Here is a 19,372-nt window from a genome sequence, read left to right on the forward strand (position 1 = left end):
TTAGAACAGTCTTCAAGTTATATAAAATGGGCATGCTATTTATGCTATATATTGCTTTCACATTCACAGGGGAAAAAAGCAAAGCAATAGTTATCTCCCCAAATAATATGTGTTCCCACATATGCACCTCCATGATTTTTTCTTTAGAAAGCACAACAAGAGCCCTGATTCACTTGTTTTGAAGTAGGTTCATTTTAAAAGTTGGTTCTATACTCGTCACATAATAGATGCATTTTCTTGGGTCGTTTTGTCAGAGTTTTGAAAGACTTTCTTGGAATATCCATGCACTTTTAGATTTGCCTTTTCTTTCAAAATATCTTTATCCATAACACTATGAAGCTCTGTTCAAAAATTCTTAAGAAGTTCAGTTTTTTTTCCCTTGGCTAGAGGGAGAAAGTGTTTCACTGACATGGCACTGGAAAAACAAATGAGCATTTATTCTGTTTGAGGAGAACGATTCCCTCTTTGCACAGCCTGGAGTGCAAAAATAGGAAGAATCAGGACTCTGGATAAATAAGCCTGCCTTCGTTAGGTTCAGTCCTTCTCCCAGCTGCATTATTCAGTCCATCCCTTGGCATTTAAGGAGTTAGAGGAAGAAATTGTCTTATTCGTCCTTATGTAGATGAATCTCCTGGTTGAGGAGACAATTTTTAAGAAGAGCTGCTGCCTCTTACAGAAGAGTATGGTTTTTGAAAAGAAATCATTTTACCTGTACAACTCAGTCCTTGATAATGGATACTATGAACTCATGCTTCCTTGATGGGTCCTGTATTTGACCTTTAACTTCCTAACACTTCTCTATGAAATGTTTTCTCTCCTTTATGACCAAGTCATTCAACTTGCAGCATCCAACCCTATGAAGGGACTATTGGATAGAGTGGATTTTATCTGACTAAATATTTTAAAAGATTTGTGTTTTTTAACTGCTTGATGAAATATAATTAGCCCTGAAATGGAAATGGGGAGATCCTTGTCCTTTCCTTTTTCTGCTGATAACTAGCTTTGCAACTCAGTCAAGTTCCTCCACCTCTCCAGATCCCAGTTTCCTCAAAGGTCAAAGAGGAATTCATTACTCAATATCTCTAAGCTAATTTTTTATTATAAAATTAACTGCTTTTATAAATAAACTGCTTTTATAAATTTTAGAAAATGTGGACCCACAAAAAGGCCTTTAATTATCGCTTCCACTAGAAGATGGTTGCCTGGAGAATTGCGGGGACATATAGCACTGTTGGGTTTTTAGAAAACACATCACTCTTCATTACATATCCCTGGTCTTTTCAGTGCTCAGATAAGTCATGCCTGAGGACACCTTCTCTAAAGAAGAGAGTTTCAGATGCCAATCTGGAAGGAAAAAAAGATTCCGGAATGCTGAAGTACATCAGACTTCAGGTATTGTTACCTGGATCAGAAGGATTCATGGAACTTTTAACAGGGAGGGGACTCCAGACAGCCTATTTACTAATGTTTGGGACATACAACATCAGTTGGTACAGTGTTGGCATAAAGCCCCTTCAGTTGGTGAGCAAGAGTGCCACCAAGTGTGCCAGGAAAAAAGAAATCTCTTCTTGCTATATAGCCAGCTTCCACAGACAAGGCTTGGGAACTTCGGTTCGAACCACAGCTCTCCCCACTGTCTTCACTGCAGGAGAGCTAACTTCCCACATGTGTGTAACAGTGACACTTACGGGTTTTGGAATGAGACAGTCTGGGTTCATATCCCATGTCTGCTGCTCTGGCTCTGGGACCTTGGGCAAGTTATTTAATTTCTCTTGATCTTAGTCACCTCATTTATAAAATGGGGGTTACAACACTAGACCTGTCCCAAGGAATTATGGCATGGATTAAAGAAAATGGTTCATGTACCTACTTATCCAGTGCTTGACACATTGTTATATTGTTATTACAACATGAGCTCTAAATCATTATGTTCTCCCCCCCAAAAAAATTGTTCATATTTTTCTGGAATGTGAAATGATGATGACTTGTCTAGAACCTATATTTGTCACCCAAATTGTCAGAAATAATGGATAAAGGATTTTGTGGTTTAATCTGGGGCAATAACCACAATGTATTATGTATTTCAAAGGGAAATGCCATGCATGTTCACAATGGGCTTTTTCATCAGTTACAGGCTGCTTATAGTTTTTGGTGGAAATCTACTATTAGGAAGGAAAACAGGATCCTTTAAAAATCTATGAAGACTTTTAACACAAAGATGTATTTCCTGGAGTCTTTCTTTTCTTGTGGAGTTGTACTCAATATATAGTTTACTCCTTGGTCGCAAAGCAATTTTGTGGTGAAAACGTCATAAAATTAGTGTATTTTTTTCTAATTATGCTTCAGTTATAAGGTATAAAGCTTATCTATCATATGCCATGTCAACTAAATATGCTCCCATTTTAGAAAGCATTTTAAGGTCACTTAAGGCAAGCAGAGAGAGGGGACGTGGCTTTTAAGTTTCAAGAGAAGTGCAGTATTCACTGTCTTAAAAGATTTTAAAACATGATTTCCATCTTTTCCCAGGTGATGAGCTTGTCGCCTGCTCCCTTATCTCTGTTAATCAAGGCAGCACCAATTCTGACAGAGGAGATGTACGGAGACATCCAGCCAGCTGCCTGGGAGCTCCTGCTCAGCATGGATGAGCACATGGCAGGGGCAGCAGGTAAAGAAAGACCACCTGGAACCCTGTGCCTGCTGCCACTGCTGTTACTGATCCAAGTGTTTAAATAAGAGAGGTGTTTCCATTCTATTTTTGCTCCTAGGTCAAGTTAATGGCAATTGCTATAACTGTAGACTCTAGAGCTGTGTGCTATAGGAAGGTAGACCCAGGGTTTGTGTGCTCCCTTCCAATTTCACCATATGGTCTGCACCATAGCATATGTCTCTCTCAGGGTGTTACCAAATTATAGAGAATGATTTTCCCCAGATCCTGCACTTTCACTATATTTCACAAGAGACAAAATTCTTTTTTGTGTCATCTCCTAGATTTAACATGCACCACTGTAATTTACTTTATCAAATCTTATGTGAGTAATGTTCTGTGTCCAAAAGGTAATATCAAAGCAAATGTATTAAAATGTAAGTGATTTGTCCAAGGCCACATAGCTAGTTAGTGATAGAGGCAAAATGTGTATTCTTCATTTTTCCACTTTTTATACAGATCGCTAAATTTGTATCTGGTTATTTTAATTTCAAAATACACGTGATAAAAATTCAAGTAATACAAAATTGTATGAAGCTAAAAGTATTGCCCTCTCTCCTATGACCCGCCCCCCTCTCCCCATCCCCCAGCCCCCTTCCCCCTCCCAGCACCATTCCTTTCCCCAGAGGCAACAATTTTTAAGTTTCTCAGGAATCCTTCTAGGGTAAACTGTGTGTGTGTGTGTGTGTGTGTGTGTGTGTGTATATAAATACACACATATATGTATGTATATATGTAAGTTGTGTATTGAATGTTTTGTTTTTCATGCAAATGGGACATGCTGTAAGTGCACTTTGAATTTTTTCATTTATATCTAGAAGACTGTTTTTAAATATCAGTTTATAGTTTTACCTCTTCTCTTTTTAATGGCTACAAAATGTTCCACTGAATGAATTGACATATTGTAATTTATTTAAACAAGATCTATTGATGAAAATTTAGGTGGAGTTCAGCCTTTTGCTCTTTTATACCATACTGCAATAAATATCTTGGTAAAATATCTTTGTTCACATTAAAGCTTAGGTTTTTGCTTCTCAGAGAGCGCTGTAGGAGTTCAGGGAATGGCACACTCCCCAAATGTGGGATAGTCATGGAAACTTCCATGGAAAATATAAACAGGTGGACGGGGCTTTAAAGAACACCTAGAAGTTAGCCAGGAAGGGAAGATGGTGTGTGCAAAACTGGGAGGCCGAGGCGGGCGGATCACGAGGTCAGGAGATCAAGACCATCCTGGCTAACATGGTGAAACCCATCTCTACTAAAAATACAAAAAAAATTAGCCGGGCATGGTGGCAGGCACCTGTAGTCCCAGCTACTCGGGAGGCTGAGGCAGGAGAGTGGCATGAACCCGGGAGGCGGAACTTGCAGTGAGCCGAGATTGTGCCACTGCACTCCAGCCTGGGCGACAGAGTGAGACTCTGTCTCAAAAAAAAAAAAAAAAAAAACAAAAACTGGGTGAATGTGGACGTGCACTGGGCTTTTTGGAAAGCCTGAGGAGACTGAAAACTAACATGGCTAGCATGGCTTTTGTAGAGGGGTCACAAGTCCATAATATTAGAAAGGTGAGTGGGACTCAGCTTGTAACCGACTTTGAATGACAGGCTTATGATTGTGGACCTTCCACTGAATTGTGAAAAACCAGTGGTGGTTTCTGAGCCATACAGCAATGTTGTATACAGAGTGTGAATTGTTACTAAGTTTGATACTGCAGCAATATGTGGAATACTTTGGTTTTAAAAATAGTGTTTTGTTGTAGAGGAAGGATGAGGAGAAGTTGGCTAATGGGTACGAACCTACAGTTACATAAAAGGAATAAGTCCTAATGTTCAAAAGCATAGTAGTGTGACTATCGTTAATAACAAAGTATTGTATATTTTAAAATAGCTAGAAGACAGGACTTGAAATGTTTCCAACACATGGAAATAATAAGTACTCAAGGTGGTGGATATTTTAAGTACTCTGACTTGATCATTACATTCTATTCATATAACAAAATACCACATGTACTCCATGTGTACAAATATTAAGTGCATATTTTTAAAATAAATTTTTAATTTTTTTCAAAAAGAAATAGTAATTTTTAGATGAAGGAGAGTTGGTAATATATGATTGGTGACATGACACTGAAACTAAAGAGGAAGGCCAAAGTTAGAGGTAAACATGGGGAACAAGTTGGTATACATGGCAGCTGAAATAGTGAGAGTAGATGGGCTCTCTGGGAGAGGGTCAGTAGAGAAGAAAGAGATGAGGAGTGACCACTAAGCCACTGGTCTTCTCCACATCTAGAGGACCAGAGGAAGAAGCCCAGCCAGAAAAAGTGATCAGAAAAGTACAGAACTCAAATAATCTCAAGCTGTGGAAGCAAAGGAAAATAATTCTTCAAGGAGATTATGAAGGTATTAAAAACTGAAAGGAAACAAATGGTATACAAATACCATTGGATCTGAGGATTCGTGAGCATTACAAGAAAACTTTTTCAGTAGAGATTATGATAGAACTCTGCAGTGACTTAAATAATGAGCCTAGTGTTTAAAAATTGAGGCAGGGTGGGTTTCATTTTAAAGAAAAGCAAGGAAAGGAGAAAGAGTGGAGACTTAAACACCTAGTAGGCTAAAGAAAAGTATTATCAAAAGATAATGATTACAATAACTAGCATTTGTTATAGAACTAGATCATATGCATTATCTTATTGATAAACCATTCTATAGATGAGCAAACTTGAGTCAGATAATTGAAAGGACTTATCTAAGTTCACACAGCTCAAAGGGCAAGGAAACCAAACCCAGATTTTCTGACTGCACAGATAGATGCCCTTCCCATTACAACTACATTGCCTCTATTTTTAAAAAACAATATACTTTAGAAATGCGTTGTACTTTTCACTTCACAAAGCACTTTCTCATATATTCTTTTATTTTATTCTAAAAACAACTTTGGAAGCAGGTATTAGTATTATCATTATTGTTCTTATTGGGAGGTTCACCAGTAAAGAAAATCGCAAGCTAAGAGAAGTTAAGAGGCTTGCACAAGATCTCATGGCAGAGAAGTATCAGAGCTACTAGGATTTAACCCCATTTCTTCTGGCACAACTGCCTAAGCACATTGTTAGGATCTGTGAAAGAGAACATGAGAGATTCATGACATACTCATGTAGGGTATGTTTTTATAACTGCCACTGGCTCCTCTATCTGTGTTATAAAGTGTATTTATAAAGCTCATTATTCATTAGCTTTATAACCTATCATGGAACCTGGCCTTTCACTTACTGATATTTGGCTTTTCACAATAATTTTTCATGGTATTATGACTCATTAAATCTCTTTTGGTTTCTCAACCTCTTCTATCTCTGGGAAGGATATATGTTTCTAATAGAGCCTATGATGTGGAATTTTTAAAGTGTAGCTAATGTAAATGAGGTAGTTTTTAAAGGATAACTTTATTTATTGTCCTCGGGTTACTAAGAGATGACTCTGGCTATCTCCTAAAAAACATATTTCAGGATGTACTTTTTTAATTTCATTTGCTTCCTCTGGCATTCACTTTTCACTGTGAGTCAAAGGAAACTTTGCTTAGAGTGAGTGATTCTACTGAAATGTCATGTTGTTGCTGCCCTCGCACCAGCTATTGGAAGGTTGTGGGTGGTACAAAGAAGGTTTGCTTTTGCCAGTGCTGGTAGCCTAGCTCCATATAGCTCAGGAGTCATTTTCAGAAGATAGAAGCAGTTTCCACTTCTCCCCAACCCCAGGAACTAAGCAATATTTTAAAAGCATAGCTGATGAATTGTTGACTGTCTCTAGCTGCCATGTTCCTGCTGTGTGCAGTGAAGGTGCCTGAGGCCGTGTCCGACATGCTGATGTCAGAGTTCCACCACCCGGAGACTGTGCAGAGGCTGAACGCTGTCCTCAAGTTCCACACGCTCTGGAGGTTTCGCTATCAGGTCTGGCCCCGGATGGAGGAAGGGGCACAGCAGATTTTTAAGGTGAGGGATACTTCTCACAGAGGAGTTACATTAGCAAACCCAACCCAAGGTTTGTTTAAACCGTTGAACCTCAAAGTCACAGTATGTGGCCAAAGATATTCTTCTTTTTTCTCTCTGATCATATAAGTAAACCTAACATACATGAATGCATTCCTACTGTTAAAAAATTAAAATATAGAAGAATATAGAGTAAGAAAATCAAGTCTCTATAAACCTCAAAATCTCACCAGCATTCCCAGAGGTAAGCATATGAAAGTCTGGGGAATTATCTTCTAAACATTTTGCTATATATAAACTTACAGGTATGTTTTGGAGGATGGGTTGATAAACTCAAATAGAGATCATTTGATTGAAAGCCTTTAATGAATTAGTAAACTGAGGCCCAGATAGGTTCATCTTGTGCTCTATAACAGAAAATCTTGGCAAATAGCCCTTTTCTAAAATTCTTGTTCATTCTGTGTGAAGTCACTTGGATGATTAACACTTCCTGAGACAGATTGTGTCATCATTATACTTCAGCCTCATTCTAGCTTATATTCCCTCTCACCTAATTTTTCTGATGTCAACTAACAGATTCCGCCTCCCAGTATCAATTTCACCCTTCCCTCGCCGGTGCTTGGAATGCCATCCGTCCCAATGTTTGACCCACCGTGGGTTCCTCAGTGCAGCGGGAGTGTCCAGGACCCCATTAATGAAGACCAGTCTGTGAGTAACAGACACTTCCAGGTTCCATGGTGTACGTGTAAAAGAGAACAATTAATATTTGTGGTAATTTGTTCATTCTCATCATAAGAATGTAATAATAACACAGAAAGTCAGCACAAAAGATCTTTGTCCTTGTGAATATAATAGAGAGAATAATATCGAGTAGTGAGTACTTGCAGATCTCAAAAAAAAAGTCTTGTTTTATAATCAAAGCAGAAGCCACCTTTAAAGCTACTAAAAGCATTAGGCATTGATTTCTTGGCCAAAGGTGGCCCTTTTGCCTCTATTTATTACAAACGAACATACTTATTTAACCAATAATACACAAGCCAAGTTAAGGACCCTGGCCCTGAAAAAAATAAGAAAAAGAAGAGAGTTGGCAGCTATTTACTTGTTTGAACCTTAGTTTATTCTTCATTTTGTTGATTATCAGTGTCATCATCACAGACATCACTCTGACACCCCTGCTCTTATTACTGCTATATGTAATATAACTCATAAACGGTCAGATTTAGAACACAGTCCATTTATAGACAAAAAACAAGAATATGCACCTTTTGAAAAAAATTCATCTTCAGAATATGCCTTTTTCACCTGTTTAATAGTATTTTTCTAAATTACAAGAGTAATGTAGAAAATTTGGAAAATAAAGCAAAAATAGAAAAAAGAACACCTCTTTGCACAAATTTATCATTGTTTCCTTGCATAAATTCCTATGGGATTTATGGCAATAATAAAATAATAACCATTAAAGGTTTTTGACGCATCTCACAAAATATCCCCAGAAAAGTTATATCACTTTGTCCTTATAGAATAGAATTGAAAAGTATCTTATTAACTAGTGTTATTATTTTAATTGCCACTTTGAATGGCCAAAACAACTTACTGTTTATTTTATTCATACTTCTTTGAAAAATTTAGTTGAATATATGAAATTAGTTTGAACATCTTTGCATATTACTCATAGTATTTCTAGGCATTTGTCGCTTTCTTTGGAGAACTGTTTTTTAAACTCTTTCCCATCACAATATACCTATTTTATTTTAATTCTACCTTCATATCTGATGGTACCTTGCCAAAGAGAAATACACACCTGGTTCTTCTCCCATATGTGCAGTAATTTCAGCATCTGAACCACCAACATAAAGTTATCTTTGATTTTTCTCCTGAAGAGGTGGTGGGTTCATCTGAGCCAGCCACAATCTGTATCCCAAGCTCACTGTGGATTTGAAATCAAGTACCTTGATTTTATATCCAGTTATCTTTCTCATTCCACAGTTCTTACCTTATGCCTTAATATAATAAACCAGCTTAGCTATCTGGCTCTGAAAATGGATTGTACTAAAAGTTCAAAAATTAGCTGGGCATGGTGGCAGGCACCTGTAAACCCAGCTACTCAGCAGGCTGAGACAGGAGAATCACTTGAACCCAGGAGGTGGAGGTTGCAATGAGCTGAGATTGTGCCATTGTACTCCAGCCTGGGTGACAAGAGCGAAACTCCATCTCAAAAAGAAAAAAAAATGCTCTTAATTGCTACTCTACCTTTCAACATAGGAAACCTTTAGTCTTATGTTAAGATCCTCCATAAAGGGATTATCTACAAATGCAGCCCTGTAGAAGAGTAATCAACATCCCCTGCCTGTCTCTTGAACCCTGTGTGACTATAAGCCAACAAAGAGTTCTGGAATTGCCATTGTGCATAAACATTACTTCAAGTGGATAGAGAAGAACTCCAGTGATCACTTCCCTGCTCAGAGGCCACTGACTCTGTCTCCAAAGCTCTTGGAGCTTGTCTGGGCATAAGCATCATAATTAAGACATGAATAGAATAGCTGTTGTACAGTGAATCTTCTTTTCTTCATTGTTCCTGATCCTTCATCTATGGAGGAGTGAGTTTTTCTTGGTATTTTTCCAGTATGCCTTGGCTACTGTTAAATAGAGTCAGATTTTACATTCAACCTTAGTAACACTATCAGCTCTCATATTTTTCATTCCATAACTTTGTTTCCACAAATATTATTAAGTGTTTATAGTGTGACAAATACTTGAGCTACAGAAATGAAATAAGCCATATAACTAACTGGCTTATATGAGAGATCTCTCTTTCTTTGTCCTTTCCATGATTCTGACTTTCAATTTTATTAACCTTATGAAATAAATGTTCTTCTTTTTTTTTTTTTTTGAGACAGGGTCTCGCTCTGTTGCCCAGGCTGGAGCGCAGTGGTGTGATCCCGGCTCACTGCAACCTCTGCCTCCTGTGTTCAAGCAATTCTCATGCCTCAGCCTCCTGAGTAGCTGGGATTACAGGCTTGCGCCACCACGCCCAGCTAATTTTTGTATTTTTAGTAGAGATGGGGTTTCACCATGTTGCTCAGGCTGGTCTCGAACTCCTCACCTCAAGTGATCCACCCGCCTCAGCCTTCCAAAGTGCTAGGATTACAGACGTGAGCCACCACACCTGGCCTGAAATAAATGTCCATTTAAAAACAGTTCAAAACATTCTAGAAAGAAATAGAGTACTTAAAAATTTTATTTGATCATAATATTTAAAGAGCAAATCATTGATATCCCTGCAAATCCTGAGATGAAATAGGATTCCTTCCAGAAATTATGTGTTCATGAAGAATCATTCTGATTGAATGAAAAAAAAATAGCTTAACCATACACAGCTTGGAAATTTGGTAAAAGGACAAATATCCATGAAACTGGATCATGGGTATCCTAACATTTCCTGAGGACAAACTACTACGTTTGTGTCATTCATTGGAACACTCTTTATGCCTGTGACCTTGCAGAAGAATTGCTATTAAATGAACTTGCCTTTATGTCTCCACAGAAATCCTTTTCAGCCCGGGCTGTGTCCCGCTCCCATCAAAGGGCAGAACACATCTTAAAGAACTTGCAGCAGGAGGAAGAAAAGAAACGACTTGGTAGAGAAGCCAGCCTCATCACTGCCATCCCCATCACCCAGGAGGCTTGCTATGAGCCCACATGCACGCCCAACTCAGAACCGGAAGAAGAAGGTGCCCTCTGCACACAGGACTTCTTGGGGGGCTGAGTCTCAGGGAAATAACGTGCTCTGAAATTAACATTGACAATTTTATGTGACATGAGGTGATATGCCCCCTTCCATCTCTCTCTCACTTCCTGACGCTAACCAAAGAAAGAGAAAAGTTGTTTTCTGAAGTTTAGAGTTAGCCATTTTCAGAGGAGGACATTAGTTACATTAAATGAATGATTCAGGGAACTGCTGAATCCAGTATGTGTATTAAAGTAAATGCAACCAATCTTTCATTAACTACTTTCAACCTTCACAAGTGCAGTTTGTCAGTTGGTATCAAAAATGATTAATTAATCATTCTGAATTGAGTGATTCTCTGTCCTGCTTTTGTAAAAACTTCGGGGGATATTTTCTGTCTTTCCTCTGTAGGGCTTTTTTAATTTTTATTTTTCCTTTTCTAAGTACACTCAAAATTATTTAAGCCTTATGGTCTGAGAGCAGTATGCATTTGTGATACAACAACAATGTGATAATAATAACTCTTTTGTTATAAAGCCAAAGTTCACATTCCCCATTTTGTTTGCCAGTAGAAGAAGTCACCAATCTGGCATCCCGTCGACTGTCTGTGAGTCCATCCTGCACCTCCAGCACTTCCCACAGGAATTATTCCTTCCGCCGCGGGTCAGTCTGGTCAGTGCGTTCAGCCGTCAGTGCTGAAGGTGTGTCCTCTTGCATACGTTTTATTTCTCCTGACTTATGTGTTTTGAAACACTTTCCAGTTAATATCATGATCTCACTTGATTACATTGTCTTCATTAAATAACTTGTCTCATGACTTGACATTCTAAAAAAAATTAGCATGGCATCCTTTAAAAAAAAATTGTTGATTTACCTCAGCAATTGTTATTTTTAAGTTGGCTCTATTTTAATTACATTGCATGTAATCATATTGCTGAGGGTTCAGAATACATCATTCTAGACAGTTAATAGTTCTCCACCTAGCTACAGTACATTACAACCAACTGGGAAGCTTAAAAAGAAAGTTCCTAAGACCAAATCAAAATCTCTGAGGGTAGGACTCATCAGTGTTTTTAAAACCTCCTCAGCTGATTTCAGTGTGTGTCACTAGTTTTTGTTTTTGTTTTTGTTTTTGTTTTTGTTTTTATTCATCCCTGTGGGTATAAAGTGGTAACTCAATGTGATTTTTATTTGCACTTCCCTAATGACAAATGGTATGGAGCATCTTTTCATATGCTTATTGACCATATGTATATCTTCTTTGTAAAAGTATTCATTCAAATCTTTTGCCCACTTTAAATTGGGCAATTTGTCTTTTAACTGTTAAATTATAAGAACTATTTATACATTCTGGATATAAGTCACTTATCAGATATATGATTTGCAAATATTTTCTCCCATTTCGTAGTTTGTCTTTTTACTTTCTTCACTTGATCTTAGCCAAAAGGCTGAGAAGCGAGTGTCTTTTTTATTTTCTTAAAGGTAACTTTGAGGCACAAAATTTTTTATTTTAATTAGGTCCAATGTGTGTGTTTTTCTTTTGTCATTTGTGCTTTTAGTGTCATATCTAAGAAACAATTGTCTAATCCAAGGTCGCAATTTGTCTAATCCAAGGTCACAATTTGTCTAATCCAAGGTCACAAAGATTTACTCCTATGTTTTCTTCTAAGAGTTTTAGCATTTATATTTAGGTGTGTAATCAACTTTGAGTTAATATGTGTTATGTTATGAGTTAGAATTTTGCATTTAGATAACTAGTTGTCCCAGCACTATTCATAGAAAAGACCATTTTCTCCATTGAATTTTCTTGGCACCTTTGTCAAAAAGCAATTGAACATAAATGTAGTAGTATATTTATGGTTTTTCAGTTCTGTTCTACTGATCTGTATGTCAATCCTTCTCTCAGTACCATGAAATCTTGATATGCAGATATTTGTATAATTGTTGTGTCTTTCTCATTGATTATTTTGTCATTATAACATGCTCTGTTTTGCCTGTGGTAAAAATTTTTCACTTACAGTATACTTTGTCTGATGTTAACATAGATACTCCACATCATTTTTTATTGCTATCTGTATGGCATATCTTCTTTCATCCTTTTCTTTCATCTTATTTGTGTCCTTGAAACTAAATTACGTCTCTTAAACATAACAGTTGATTCATATTTGTTTGTTTTTATCCATTCTGCTAATTTTGCCTTTTGATTAGTCAGTTTACATTTATTGCAGTTTTGGATAAGGTAAGATATGTGCCTGCCGTTTTAAAATATAAGATATGCCATGTGAAAGACACAGTTTTATTTATATCTTTATCTTATAATAACTTTATAAGATAATATGTTTTATATAACATAACATTATATTAAAATAAAACATTTATAATAGCTGACAAAATCTTTGTCTAGTAAGTCCAACATTTAAGCTTCCTCAGGGTTAGTTTATGTTGACTGCTTTTATTTCTGTATATGGGCAATATTTTCCGGGTTTCTTATATGTCTCATAAGTTTTTATTGAAAAATGGACAATTTAAATTATATAATGTGGAAACTCTGCAAATCAAATGTCCCCCTTTCCTCATCAGGATTTTTTATTATTGTGTTGCTATTTGTTTGTTTAGTAACTTTCCTTGACTAATTTGTAAAGTCCATAATAAGCCTTTGTTGAGTGTGAGCACTGAAATCCCTGCTCAGTTACATTAGTGGTCAGGTAATGATTAGACAGAGATTTTCTTAAGTGCCTTGAACTAATAAGTCTTCCAGCCTTTACTGAGGACCACTTTGGGTGTGTTGAGGCACATCTTCAGTGTTCCAGTAGTTTAAAACTCTGCCCTTCATTTTTGTACTTTCTGCTTGTGTAGAGCTTCAAGGTTAGCCAAACATGAGAGATGACGAATTTCTCAGGTCTTTCCTGGGCATGTGCACAACCTTGTACATATGTACAGCCATCTAGATAACCAGGAATATGTCAGTGATTTGCAAGCCCCCTAGAAATCTCATTCTCCAGATTTGCCTTTTAAGATTTTTGTCAGCCTCCAGCTTCTCCCAACTCATATGAGCACCTCAGACAGCTACAATGTTAAATAATTGTTGCTGATTTTTTTTTTTTTTTGGAAAATGCCCTGGGGATAAAGCTGTTTGCACTAAGCTTTAAGTCAAGCTAAATAAAGACAAACCTTGTGAACAGGGATTTTCCATGGGGTTCTAGATAGGTCAAGTAGTGACAATTCTCTGGTGTTGAGGCTTTTAGGGGGCTCCAAAACTGCTCTGCCCATCCAGTGGCTGCTAGGCTGCTGGTTTTAACAGCTACCATGGTTGCAAGGTTGTCAATTTTCAAGGCTCCTAAGGACCTAGGAAGACAGGGAGGTGAGTAGGACAAGTTAAAAAGCCAGAAATACCACTGGTCTTTTTTCCTTTTTTTTTTTGTTGTTTTTTTAATACATGCTCCTCAAATAGTTCCAAGCTTTTGGTAAATTTTGAAAGCTCCGAAAAAAGTGTATTTCACAGTATTCTCATTGCTTTTACGGAAGAACAGATTTCAGGGATCTATACTCCACTGTTGCAGAAGTGCTTGGTCCACTATATATATATACATTTTTAAAGATTTCCACATGCATCTACTACGAAGCTGTGTCCAGAATTTATTCCTTCCAGCGGGTTCTTGGTCTCGCTGACTTCAAGAATGAAGCCGCGGACCTTCACAGTGAGTGTTACAGCTCATAAAGGTAATGCGGACCCAAAGAGTGAGCAGCAGCAAGATTTATTGTGAAGAGCAAAAGAACAAAGCTTCTGCAATGTGGAAGGGGACCCAAGCGGGTTGCCGCTACTGGCTTGGGTGGCCAGCTTTTATTCCCTTATTTTATTTTATTCCAGCTTTTATTCCCTTATTTGGCCCCTCCCACATCCATTGGTCCCTTTTACAGAGCGCTGATTGGTCCATTTTACAGAGTGCTGATTGGTGCGTTTACAATCCTTTAGCTAGACACAGAGCACTGACTGGTGCGATTTTACAGAGTGCTGGTTGGTGCATTTACAATCCTTTAGCTAGACACAGAGCCCTGATTGGTGCATTTACAATCCTTTAGCTAGACACAAAAGTTCTCCAAGTCCACATCCAACCCAGAAGATCAGCTGGCTTCACCTCTCAAAGCCCAGACTGAGAATGACAGTATAAGTCTCTTAACCCTCTAGTCCTTCATAGGCCTTCTAAAATCCCAAATAGTCATGTAAGTTTTAATCTGAGAATCAAACACTCACAATTCTTTAGTGCTTTAGAAAAGTGACATGTATATTTTCATATTAATAAGCTGTTAAATACCTTTTCTACCTTCCTTGCCTACTAAATCTAACCTTTTTCCTTTATTCCTATATGCAATTATATTTATTTTTAATTTGTTATTGTATTTATCAATGAGGATGAAAACATTAATATGGGTGGGCTATGTCATTCTTATCCTAAATGCATGTGTGTTTTCTTCTACCCCATATTACTGCTTACTATCTCTCACACACTCACATGCACACAACCAGTTGCATCTATGAAAAATGTCTTAGTCTCCGCTTAGAATTTTATCTTCATTAATTTAATATTGTGAACCGATCCACTTGTCCCAGAATGTCTGTGCTTCGCTTCTCTACCAAACAAGAATAATAGTACTCGGAAAGTGGGCTGGTTTTTTTTATTTGTTATAAAATGAAGAGGCACTTTGTGTAACGTAATCTTTTTTAAGATGTTGGCATTTTCTCATTGCTAGGATTATGCTTTTAAATAAGTATGCCTTGAACTGAGAAATGTTGCATTAAAATTATATTACTGAGGCCAGATGCAGTGGCTTATGCCTGTAATTTCAGCACTTTGGGAGGTGGAGGTGGGAGGATTGCTTGAGCCCGGTAGTTCAAGACCGACTGGGGCAACACAGTGAGGACTCATCCTACAAAAAATAAAAAAATTAGTCAGATGTGGTGGCACACCTATGTGGTCCCAGCTACTCTGGAGGCTGAGACAGGAGGATCTCTTGAGCCCAAGAAGTCGAGGCTGCAGTGAGCAGTGATCATGCCACTGTACTCCAGCCTGGGTGACAGAGTGAGACCCTATCTCAAAACAACAGTAGCAACAAAGAATTACGTTACTGAGAAAAGCACCCTGATTTTGTCTCCCATTTTAGATGAGGAACATACCACTGAACACACGCCGAACCACCATGTGCCTCAGCCCCCACAAGCAGTGTTCCCAGCATGCATCTGTGCAGCAGTACTTCCCATTGTTCATCTGATGGAGGATGGTGAGGTGCGGGAAGATGGAGTAGCAGGTACAGTTTTGAACAGTCAGATCATCAGTGACATTCTTAAGCTGTTTATCTGATAGAAGACAGTAGGTTGCTCTTAAACACATTATCTACTGGCCACATGTTGAACTGTTTTATGCACATATTATAATTACAGATTTGTAACATACTGCGCTAACAGTATCACTCTCTCCACCTCCTTCTCCCTCTACCTTTATGGCCAAAAAAATTGCATTTAAAATAGGTAATTGGGTCCAGGAGCATTGTTCGTGACCAGAGAACAGAACAACACAATAATTATTTAGCCACATAGAAATCAAACCTTAGAAATCTTAGCTATTAGCTTGACACCACTAATACCATCTCTCTTACGTGATTACCTTTCCTGACGTGCTAACTACCTAAAAAGAATAATTGCAAAATGAAACGATAAACTAAGGGAAAAGATGAGTAACATTTGTGACAGACAAAGGTTAATTTCTTAACGTTACATTTTAAAAAGCTCTTATAACTCACTAATAATTTTTTAAAACCCCATTAGAAAACTGGGCAAAGGATATCAGCAGGCAATCCAATGGCCAGTAACACCTGGAGACAACATCGTTGTTTAAAACTGTAATAAATCTTACATTTCAGCCAGAAAGTCGGCAAATATTACTTTAAATGAAAATATCTATTGCTGGTGAAAAAGCAGGGGAAAGAGCATCCTCATACTTTGCTGATGAAGTATAAAACTCTGTACAAGCATTCTAGAACAGAGTTTCATGATATGTATCAAAAACCTTAAAAGTGTGAAAAGCTTTTGACACAGATTTGGCTTCTAGCAATTTCCTAAGACAATCATGAGGGCTGTATAAAGGACATTGTACACTGATCATTATTTAAAATAAAAAATATTTAGAAAGACTTTAAATCCCTAACAATAAGCAATTAGTTAATCATAGTACCTCCATATGATAACATTCTGTGAATGCTGGAATTGCATTCTAGATGAATATTAATATAAAAAGTGTTAATACATTGCTAAGTAAAAAACCGAATACCAGAGAATATTTTCTATATATAGTACTATTTTAAAATACATGTAAGTAGACTGGGCACGGTGGCTCATGCTTGTAATCCCAGCACTTTGGAAGGCTGAGGCAGGCAGATCACTTGAGATCAGGAGTTCGAGACCAGCCTGGCCAACGTGGCGAAACCCTGTCTCTACTAAAAATACAAAAATTAGCCAGGCGTGGTGGCACGTGCCTGTAATCCCAGCTACTCATGAGGCTGAGGCAGGAGAATTGCTTGAACCTGGAAGGCAGAGGTTGCAGTGAGCCGAAACCGCACCACTGCACTTCAGCCTGGGCAACAGAGTGAGACTCCATCTCAAAAATAAAAATAAAATAAAATAATGCACGTAAATATATATTTCATGTATGTGAAATGACATACTCCAAACTGTTAATAGTTGTTTCTGTGATGAGTGGACTTCCCAGTCTTATTTTTCTCTTTGCATTTTTTTGTATTTTTCATGTTTTAAGCATGAAACTGCCTTACTTAAGCAATTAAAATAAAAATAACATGAACATTTTTAAAGTTTTAATTGACACATAATAATTGTACATATTTATGGGGTACAGTGATATTTCAGTACCTGTATACAATGTGTAATGATCAAATCATGGTAATTAGCATATCCTTCACCTCAAACAGTATTTCTTTGTGTTAGGAACACTCAAAATTCTCTCTTCTAGCTATTTGAGAATATAGAATAAATTATTGTTACCTATAGTCACCCTACAGTGCTAAAGAACACTGAAACTTATTCCTGCTATCTAGCTGTAATTTCTTATCCATTAACCAACCTTTCCCATGCCTCCCTCCCGCCTCCCCTTCCTAGCCTCTAGTTAGCACTATTCTACTGTCCACTTCCGAGAGATCAACTTATTTAGCTTCTACAAATGAGTGAAAACATGCAATATTTGTTTTCCTGTGCCTGGCTTATTTCACATGTAAAGATATTTTTGCAATCAATATCAACCTGAGAAAAACTCACACCTATTTTAATTAGTTATAGAGACACATGAAAGCTACAGCTCTGGATTTATATTTTTGTTAATATTATTTATATGTCCTTTAACTTTAACTGTATGGCTTGTTTCTGAATCAAAATTTGGTATCATTTATTTGAAATAAATTTATGCTAAATTCTGTATTCCTACTTTTGAAAACCAATGGAATTGGGAAACACGTTGAAACTAAAGACCATTCAGTGCTTACTGGCCCTGTTTTTTACCCACTTGCTTTCTTAGTCTGGGTACTTCTAGACAATCTTAGCCTGACCGCTTTCCCCACAGAAATAGCACTTTCTTTCTCATTAGGATTAATTATTTATTCTTAAGACTTCTTCGTTAGAAGTGAGAACCTAATTGTTACTGGCTCAACTACTTTATCTTGCTGAAGGAGATACTGTTTGAAGCACTCATGTGGACAGAAAAAAAAATCCCTAATTCATATGCATTCTAAACCAAAACATATTTTCAAAATCCAAATAGTCTTTCATAGTTTCTCCATAAAATAAACAATAAAATATGACTGTAATTTAATAAGTGCTGACTGCTGCTATTATTGGGGTGACTTCCACAACAAAGACAATTGCATATATTCACAGAGATATTCTTTGCAAAAGCATTGCTGATACCTGAAGACAACTCCTACACTTTTTGGTAACCTGTTCTTTACATGTGAAAATGTTCAGAGACAACAACGAAGAGAACAAACACCTACGTTGCAAAAGAAAAAAGAGTTCACAGAGCCTTTTAAGGCAAAAAGCAGAGACTAAAGCTTGTAAATTGTCAAATACTTTATCTCATAGACTTAACTCCATTAAAGACAAATGTTCAACTTTCTTTCTCTTCTGAAGTGAGTGCTGTGGCTCAACAAGTCTTATGGAACTGTCTAATTGAAGATCCATCAACGGTTCTTCGACATTTTCTGGAAAAACTGACCATCAGCAATAGACAAGTAAATTCCTCTTCCTTTTTAGTGTAGCTCTGTGGCTACAAGTGTGAACACTGTTAAAATCATGCAAAGAACTTTATAGTGCAGTGCATGCAACTCAATGCCCTCCAATACACAACCAATAAGTACTTTTTAAATAATGATAATGATGAGCAATACTTAACTTTGCTGTTTTTAATTTCTCCATTAATTCATGTTTCTATATATATATATATTACATTGCTAGTGAGGATCCTAAAATACTGCAAGATTAAATTAAGTATAATGTTCTTACTATTGAGTACCTTCATTGAATTCTGAATGCTTGGCAGTCTGATGCAGGTATGATTATTAGAATATGTTAAAATTTTTCATTAACCAAAAACCTGATTTGTCAGACCACCTTGTAAGAAGATCATGCCAAATAAAAGTAGTCTTTCAAGCAGTGGCAAAATACAGCGATGATTAAAAATTATTTGTTCATTTCTATGCTATAGTCATATTCACTGGAAGGTTAAGTTTAGTTTCTGAAAGGTAAAGTTAATTATAGACATTTCAATCTAGTCTCTTGTAACCTCTCTTTTTCTCTTTGACTCAAAACCTAGAAAGCAGAATTAAGACATTCACAAAAACATGGTTTGTTTAATGATTTTTCAACATAGGTCCTCCTCATAGTCCCGTCATATCAGGCTACCATGGC

General features: G+C 37.1%; 1 protein-coding gene across 3 annotated transcripts in view, besides 1 other annotated feature; it reads left to right on the top strand.

Moving 5' to 3' along the window:
- Positions 1–19,372, top strand: part of UNC80 (unc-80 subunit of NALCN channel complex) — a 227,465-nt gene that overhangs the window by 139,444 nt on the left and 68,649 nt on the right. For all 3 annotated transcript variants that reach the window (NM_032504.2, NM_001371986.1, NM_182587.4), the window contains 8 exons: positions 1,285–1,392; positions 2,527–2,665; positions 6,502–6,683; positions 7,257–7,388; positions 10,225–10,411; positions 10,977–11,108; positions 15,568–15,711; positions 18,596–18,696. In NM_032504.2, the coding sequence (NP_115893.1) occupies positions 1,285–1,392; positions 2,527–2,665; positions 6,502–6,683; positions 7,257–7,388; positions 10,225–10,411; positions 10,977–11,108; positions 15,568–15,711; positions 18,596–18,696 (1,125 nt within the window). The remainder of the gene's footprint in view (positions 1–1,284; positions 1,393–2,526; positions 2,666–6,501; positions 6,684–7,256; positions 7,389–10,224; positions 10,412–10,976; positions 11,109–15,567; positions 15,712–18,595; positions 18,697–19,372) is intronic.
- Positions 6,412–7,611: an enhancer, noted in NCBI's record as "P300/CBP strongly-dependent group 1 enhancer chr2:210782411-210783610 (GRCh37/hg19 assembly coordinates)". NCBI's record gives its function as "activates an origin of replication core promoter dependent on BRD2, BRD4, P300/CBP, MED14 and CDK7 cofactors, with strong dependence on P300/CBP, by STARR-seq in HCT116 cells {active_cell/tissue: HCT116}" and the evidence as "EXISTENCE:reporter gene assay evidence [ECO:0000049][PMID:35650434]".

Source organism: Homo sapiens, chromosome 2 (genome assembly GCF_000001405.40).
Source record: "Homo sapiens chromosome 2, GRCh38.p14 Primary Assembly".
Taxonomy (NCBI): Eukaryota; Metazoa; Chordata; class Mammalia; order Primates; family Hominidae; genus Homo; species Homo sapiens.